Source organism: Homo sapiens, chromosome 2 (assembly GCF_000001405.40).
Source record: "Homo sapiens chromosome 2, GRCh38.p14 Primary Assembly".
NCBI lineage: Eukaryota > Metazoa > Chordata > Mammalia > Primates > Hominidae > Homo > Homo sapiens.
The window spans coordinates 131,300,578-131,309,597 of record NC_000002.12 but is presented as its reverse complement, the minus strand read 5'-3'; the positions used below and the strand labels follow the sequence as shown (position 1 = coordinate 131,309,597).

The 9,020-nt window shown below is 36.9% G+C and overlaps 1 pseudogene; it reads right to left on the bottom strand.

Moving 5' to 3' along the window:
- FAR2P4 (fatty acyl-CoA reductase 2 pseudogene 4) overlaps positions 483–9,020 on the bottom strand; it is a 12,293-nt pseudogene continuing 3,755 nt past the window's right edge.

Here is a 9,020-nt window from a genome sequence, read left to right as displayed (position 1 = left end):
TGGCTTCTCACTATGACTGCTTTGTTTGTTCAAAACTTATACAGGTTGAGTATCCTTTATCTGAAATGCTTGGGTCAGAAGTGTGTTGGGTTTCAACTGTTTTCAGATTTTGGAATATTTGCTTCTATGTAATGAGGAATCTTGGGAATGGGAGCCATGTCTAAACACAAAATTCACTTATGTTTCATACACACTTAGCCACATACACATAACCTGAAGGTAATCTTATACAATATTTTAAATAATTTTATGCATGAAACAAAGTTTTGAATGTGTTTTGACTGTGACCCATCACATGAGGTAAGATGTGTGGAATTTTCCATTTGTGGCATCATGTCAGTACTCAAAACATTTTGGATTTTGGAGAATTTCAGATTTTGCATTTTCAGAGTAGGTGTGTTCAATCTGTATATATGGGTCAGATTCAGTTGTCTCCTTTAATCCTTGGCTGAAGGAAGCCCTAAAGACTTTGGGGCCTCAATCTCCCATATGCAGTGACATTCTCAAAGCCATTGACTCAGCTTCTCACCTGGGTTTCCTTCCAGTGAGCCACAGATAGAAGTCACAGATGATGGCAGGGGCCTGCTGGCTGATGGCATTCCAGTACTGGGTTGTGAAGTTGCTGGTGGTAAAATCAGCATATGGCCTCCTCAAAGCTCTCGCAAATGGAATTGGAATTTCAAAGGTTGCCAAGACCTGGAATCCTGGGGGAAAAAAGAGAGTAAGTGCTAGAGGAGAATAGGAGAATATAAGCCCATCATAGTGGAAGGTATTTACAATGGGTCACAACAATAAAGATGAAGGATTTGCTGTGTAGAGTCAAGAATCAATTTCTGAGAACAACGTAAAGATTTTTATGCTAGGCAAGTGGTTATCTGCAAAATGAAACAATGTGAATGGGTTAAGAATTGGACCCTTTATTTGAAACATCTACTCTACAACAAATTCTTGGGGAAGCACATGTAGTCAATAAAAGGGGGTACTGTTCAGAAAAATATAAATCCACATTTAATTCTAAGGTTACCTAGTCTATTCTGAAAGCCCCAAGACACAGGCTAGAAACTTTATTTCCCTGGCTGGACCATTACTTTCAGAACCATTTAGAAAGTTTCTTAACGTTTTATTTGAATCTTTTTTAAAAGTTTAACTAAAAAATTCTAAAGGCAAGATTTTCTTGTTTTAGCTTACTTTAAATATTTCTCCAGGAATATGTCAGACCCAATTGTCCACTCTGGTATCCAGGGTTTTATTCATAATAGTGTTTTTCTTTTTATATTAATACTTAGATTAAGCTTAATTAAGAACTTTTTATGTACATTTGTGAATTCAGTAGTTCTTTCGAAAAGGTACTCATTTGAATTCAATTTTAATTAAGTTATGTAGGTTTTTGCAAAGCATATGCCTAAGCTCATTATTCAATTATGATGTCAGTTATTATAGTAATACGATTATTGCCCTACTTAAAAAAATGCCAGCTAAAAATCTATCTGAAAAATATAACTCCTCTTCAGAGAAGATTCTCAAGAATCACCTGGTCCATAGGGATTTATACTTTAAAAAGATGGTGGTAAATAAGAAAGTTATGTACAGGTTGATAGCATAAGAGATTCTGATCTCAGCACTGATGTTCTGAACTATATATCCATATACTTGTTCAACATTTCCACCTGGAGGTGTAAGAGACATTCACATTTAACAGCTCTAAAATGGGCCTCCTGATACACCCACTGCTAACCACCCCCCTCCCAATACATACACAAACTTGCTATTTCACCAGTCTTCTACCTCTAACCAAATGCTAATTCAATTTGTTTAGTAGTTCAGCCAAAAACTTTGGGGTTATCCTTGATTCTTCTCTTTCTTTAACAACCCACACACAATTGAACAAAATCTATCAGCTCTCTGTTTGAAAAATACCCAGAATCATAATTTCCACCTGCTATCTCTCTGATCCAAACCACTACTGTAGCCTGGAATGTTGCAATACTGTCCTAAGTGGTCTCTGCCACTACCCCTGTAACCCTAGTCGGACCTCCATGTAGCAGCCAGAGGGATTCTTGTAAAATGTAACTCAGAGTGTATTACAGGAACGTCCCCATTCAGAGCCCTTCAACGGAATCTCTTCTCATTTAGAGGCAAAGCCATGGTCTGCAAGGGCTTGCACTCTGCATCCTCACTCTCTCTGCCCACCACTCTGACTTCACCTCTTACCGCTCTCCCTCTCAGTGCTTCTGCTGCAGCCATACTGGCCTCCTTGCTGTCCTTGAATATGATTAAAGAACTTCAGCACTTGCTGTTTCTTCAACTTGGAATATTTCATCCACGTGTCCCTCTGATTTGCCCTCTCACTTCTTGCAGGTCTCTACTAAGATGACACCTTATCAGAGAGACTTTCTTTGGCCATCACATATCAAATAGCAGCCTTCCCACAATACTGTTTACTTCTTTAATCTGTTTTATTGTTCTGCAATCACTCAACCATATCTGATGTATATTTCTCCTTTCTAAGATTTAAGTATCATAACAAAATTTTGCCTGTTTTGTTTGAACCTATACAGTACCTTGAAAAGTGGCTGACAGGTAATCAGTGCCTAATAAACATTTTTTGACTGAACGAATCAATAAATATCTCAGCAACATACACTTACTTTCCTTTTCCTAAATCTGTATCAATCCTTCCTTTAGTCATTTCAAATATATTTATTTAGCATTTAACACTTGCCAGGCACTGTGGTAGATGCTGAGGTAAAAAAAAATTACATACGATATATTCTTTGTCTTTAAAGAACTGGCAGTCTGGTGGGACATGTGGACAATTCATGATTACAATATTTTGCCTGAGTATTCTGCTAGAGGCCAGTACAATATGCTCTGGAGGAACACAAAAGAAGCATCTAGCTCTGTCTGGGTGCCAGGAAGGGGAGGGGTGGGGCTGGGTTAGGAAAGGCTTTCTGAGAAAGCTGTCCATATGGTAATAGCAAGCATTTACTAAAATGTTCACTGTTCTAACCACTGTACTAAGCACTTTATCTCACTACATTCTCCGAAGAGCTCCCTAGAATAGAATAATTATTATTCTCATTGACAGATAAAAAAAATTGATCTACAGGGAGAAACTGAGAGACTTTTTCCAACTGATACAACTAATAAGTAGTGGAGTCTACTAAATGGTGGGATGCATACCAGAATATAAGATCTATGTGAGCATGGATTTCTGTTTAGTGATACATCCTCAGCACCAAGAATAATGCCTATTTAATGAATACAGGAGTGAGTGAATGAGCTATGATTTGAATCCAAGTCTATTACATCTCAAAGCTCAAGACTTTTAACCATTAAGCTACTATCTGTCTGATGTGAGGGACAAGTAGAAACTCATGCACATGTAGAAAATGTAATTTGGCAGTTGAAAACTGGACTCTACATCCTCATAGGTCAAAGAAGAAATTCAAATGAAAAATGTTGAAGGATTAGAGAGTAATGATAACATAAACATTATACAACAAAATGTGTGGGATACAGTCAAAGTGGCATTGAGGGAAATATAAAGCCATAAATGATGTATTAGACAAGCCAAATATTCATGGGCTATATTTCTAAGTTAAAGAGAAGAAAAACATAATCAAAGACAACAGGAGGAAGGGGAAAAAAGACATAAGGCAATACATCTATGCAATAGAAAACAAAGCAGCATAATAAAGAGTCAATAGGCTGGGCGTGGTGGCTCATGCCTGTAATCGGGAGTTCAAGACCAGCCTGATCAACACGGAGAAACCCCGTCTCTACCAAAAACACAAAATTAGCCAGGTGTGGTGGCGCATGTCTGTAATCCCAGCTACTCTACTCAGGAGGCTGAGGCAGGAGAACTGCTTCAACCCGGGAGGCAGAGGTTGTGGTGAGCCAAGAAAATGCCATTGTACTCCAGCCTAGGCAACAAGAGCGAGACTCCATCTCAAAAAAAAAAAAAAAAAAAAGAACAAAGAAAAAAGTCAATAAAGCCCGAAGAAGTTGGTTCTTTGAAAAAAAGAAATAAAATAAACCCTTTGGAGACTAGCTGAGAAGAAAAGAGAAGACACAAAAATATTATGAATTAAAAAAGAAGCATAATTACAGATACAGTTTAAGACAAAAATATTAATATAAAAAAATGAATGTAAACACATGTTAAAACAGACAAAATCTTAGAAAAAGAGACAAATATAATTTACTAAAACTGATTCCAGCAGAAAATGAAGGCTGCAAAATTCTTTAACTATTAAAGACACTGAAGCAATAAAAAATCTTCTCACAAAAAATTACAAATCCAGATAATTTAAAGGTGCTTTTCCCAAGTTTTCGAGGAATAGATTACTCCACTATTACAAAAGCACTTTCAGAGAATAGAAAAACAAGGGAACTATATGATTAGCAAACTGAATTACACAAAATATAAGAAAAGATAACATGGCATGACCAAGTTGGGTTTATCCTAAAAATGGCAGGCGAATTTAATATTTGAAGTCTTCTGCTTAAAATGAGCAGCAAGACAATAATACCTACTATTGCCATTTTTATTCACCATTATAGTAGAAGTTCAACAAGAAGGCTGGGCGCAGTGGCTCACACCTGTAATCCCAGGACTTTGAGAGGCCAAGGCAAGTGGATCATGAGATCAGGAGATCGAGACCATCCTGGTTAACATGGTGAAACACCGTCTCTACTAAAAATACAAAAATTAGCCAGACGAGCTGGCAGGTGCCTGTAGTCCCAGCTACTCGGGAGGCTGAGGCAGGAGAATGGTGTGAACCCAGGAGGCAGAGCTTGCAGTGAGCTGAGATGGTGTCATCAACAAGAAAAATAAAGACCTAAAGCTTGAAAAAATGGGGATAATACTGGTATTTTTGCAGATTAACTGTCTACATAGAAAATCATGAGGAAATTTTATACAATTTCTAGCAATAATAAGTTTAGCAAGATAGCTGAATATAAGGTCAATATACAAAAATCAATTGCATTTGACATCATCCACAATTAGAAAATATATTTTTACAAAAGACATTTAAATTAGTAAAAAAAAAAAAAAGAAACATCAATTACCTGGGCACTAGGTATAAATCTGATAAAAGATGCTTAAGACCTATATGCAGGAAATTAAAAACTCTTCTTAAGGGACACTAAAGGAGACAATTCTATGGAGAGACAGCCTATGTTCACCCACCCAGCTGTCTATCACTCCTTGTAATATCACCTGAGACTATATATGCTCAACCTCCTGTTAACATGGCTACTGCTCCCAGTAGGCAGCATTTTTATCTCTCCTAAGAGTCCCTGATAGGAAACACAAATGACTTTAATTTGAATGCAACATCAAATTAATAGTAATAGCTTCCAGAAATGCTGTGTTAGAAGGGAATCTAGAACAGAGCCTTGGCACAGGGATAACCAATGTCATATCAGCCCACAGTATTTGCTATAGGTGTGAGAGAGGTAGAGGAAACATGCAGGCCAGGTATTTCTCATTCCTGGAAAAGCATTTCTCAATTCAAAGCCACAATATATAAATGAGCCACAGTGTCTAGCTGCCCTGCAATAGAACTTTCAGTGTGGTACCATGGCTTACCATTGGAATATGAAGAGCTAGTGGTACCTATGTAACAGGGATAGAAGGCGTGCATTAGTTAGTAGGTACTAAGAAATCCTACAGAATAGCAAAACTCCCTACTTTTATCTTCTACCATCATTAGATGTTTAAGTTGTACTCAAATTGATTTCCATGGTTTTTGTACATTGACCAGATTAAATCCCTTACATTCAGACAAATTAATCATTTGTATAGTACAGGGTTTCTCAAAGAGCATCTCCGCAAGCATCAACAATCATCTAGATGCTTATTAAAAAAATAGTTTCCTCAGCATCACCCAAGACCTTGATCCCAGGGTCCAAGGAATCTGGGTGTTTTTTTTATTCTCCCATAGTGATTCCTATTCATTTTTACAAATCACTAGTAGAGTAGTTAATGCACACCCAAGAGAAACAAGTTGCATAAATTAGCGATCACTATTACACACTCAAAAGGAAGGAATAACATCACCCGACTTTTCTAAATCTCACCGGTCATTGATCACGTCCCATTCTCAGTGACATATCAAGAAGGGAAGGGGTGTGTATAGGACCCGCTGCCCCAGTAGGGAGGAGTATTTCAGTATTTTATCACTGAGATTCTTTATAACTGCCAACTTTTGCTTTATTTCATCACTGTTTTTTAAAATCTCTACAGCCAATGGACCCCCTACTGCTTACAATCATGTATGTGTTCCCAATGACTCCTTTCCTTGGTAACCACAGTACATTCCAGTTAACTACCACACATTTACAATTTCTCATTGTTTTGTCTCTTTGCTTACTTTTTGTCCTTCTCCCCATGTAGGCTCTAAGCTCCATGACACACTTTTTGTCTATTTTTTCTCTGTGTCAGACACTAGTAATTATGCAGTTACATGGCTAAAGTACTTACCCATTTTGCCTCGGTTGCAGGGATTGAGGTTACCAGATGTACAGTAGTAGACTAACATTGACTTAGGTCTGGAAAATGAAATAAAAATTAAATAAATACAACAGAATGGAAAACTAAAGAAAGAAAAATAAGGGAAAATAATATTTAGACAGAGTGGTTTCAATAATTCATCTGATTAAGGCAACCTATGCAAGAAGGCTTCTGTATTTTTTTCTTTCTTTGGGTTAATAAGCAAAATGGAAGAAGACTAGCAAAAGGGTGTGTGTGGAGGTGGGGGGATGTGTGTGTGTGAAAGAGATGTTAAATAGGAGTGACATATTATGAAGCACATATGTGTGAGTTCACATAAGAAAAGTTTAATTCTGTTTACCACTTACTAACACAGCCAAGTGTATGAACAACCTGTTTTTTTTCCTTTGTACCAGGAAGCTTCCCCACACATAGTGATTGAACACTTTTGGCATTAATCAGAGTTCAGTTAAAAAAATACTCTCTCATTTCATCCACTTCTATCTCCTTTACCCTAAAAAAGAAAGCTGAATGTTAAACTACTGAATAGAAAGAAAAGCCTTTTGGTTATCAAGAATTGTATGGTTAAGTGATTTAAATGTTTTATTACTTTGTGAGTAGCCAAGTACTAAACTGTATTTTGAAAACAACTGAATGTATATATGATAGCATATTAGGAACTCTATAAAACACTGAAACAAACACCCTCTCACATTTGGGGTCTTGTACAATGAAATGCCTATATTTGGAAAATGTGCCTAATACATTACCCCTCCCTCTCATGACATCTTTGAAAGCCCACTTGAGCATCCACACCTGTGAACTGCAGCACACCATCCTACAGCTAGTGGGAGACTGACGGCTGTATCACCTGGAATTGGAATTAAGTCTCCCACAGCCATTGGAGTAGCTTTTATGGCCAAAAGAAACCCTTTCCCAGCCTGCACAGGAAAAAGAACATAAAATGTGAAACCAGGTCTTAAGTAACAGCTGGGGCTGAATGAAGTATGTATCATCAAACTGATTATACTAGTGCAATAAGTGAAAACAGCTAACATCGATCCACTGCTTACCAGGTTCCCACACTAAGTCTGACTTCGTCAGCCTATCCTAGCTTCCCAGCCAAGCGCATCTTCAGCATTTTCTTGAACTACTCGTGTTCCTCACGTTCCTTTAGGGAATAAAATTCCTCATATTTGTGAGAGATTAATAAACTTAGTTAATTACCAAACACCAAGAATAAAACTTCACATTTTAAAAATTAACTCATAAGACACGTTAAGAATTAAGGTTACACAAATTTCCCATTAATGTTTGTTTTCCATTTCATTAATGATTTTGTTTTCTGCTAGGGTTTATTAACCTACAAGCAATAGTAGGCACTAAAAGTTTAAGAAACTTTTATTAGAAAAAAATTGATTGGTGAAATTCCACAATTAATGACAAAAACTTTTTTGGCTTAGAAAAATGGCCTTATTATTTAGTTTTTCTTCAGAATCTCATTTCACCTCACAGATCACTGATGTTATATAGATACAAGAGTTTGGAATTGTTTATGTTAATAATTTGTTGAGTTTATGAAATTGATTCTTTCTGCTTTGCATGTTTCCCACTTTAATTTGAAATGATTAGCACTTTCTTATGTTACTCAATTCTCTTTTCTTATAACTAGCTCCCCTTCTTTTGGACATAAGAAACCAATTTAGAACATTTTTAAAAATGTAAATAAATATACAGCTTTGCATATAATGAAAACCGCTTTGGGATCACGTTAAAATAATGATGTTCTAAGTCACCAAACGTTCACCCCAACTGAACTTTTTTAGGAGAAAGAGTTGAAGGCAGGTGGGAAGCAGAAAGAAAGGGGCTGCTAGAAAAATCCGAAATTCGAAGGAAGGTCTTTGTCACTACCATAATTCATTGTCTCATATTTGTATTTGAATTCATGTTGAACCCAGCTCTGGGAGGAATAGAGACAGAGTCTGAAGGGCAGGCTGAATCCCTAATAAGATTTAAACTCATTTAGATCACTGATTTCCCATTCATTGTACAAAAGAGTAAAGTGGGGTTTAGGCCCTGAATGCCTCAGTGTGAGCTGTGAACCCCACAGCTCTGCCGGATCAATGTGGACTTCAGGGAGATGCGCACTGAGGGCTGCTCACCTAGAGGAGCCACGTTTCTCCTTGTAAGACATTATTGAAAAGGCGTTGCCGGCACATGTCGACCTATGTAACAAACCTGCACGTTGTGCACATGTACCCTAGAACTTAAAATAGAATAATAAAAAAGAAAAGGCCTTGCCTATATTCACTGATGTTTGTATTTGAAAAATTTGCCCCAATATTGGTAGTTCTTTCTTGTATTCATTAAGAATTATTGATGTATACCTGCTTTCCATATACACACATAAACTCTTCTATGTGTTTTATAATAACGAATTTAATAATCTTTGAAGATATTTTTACTGCATCCTCAATTCACTGCACTAATTCATGCAATTATAAACTGAAGAAAGGAG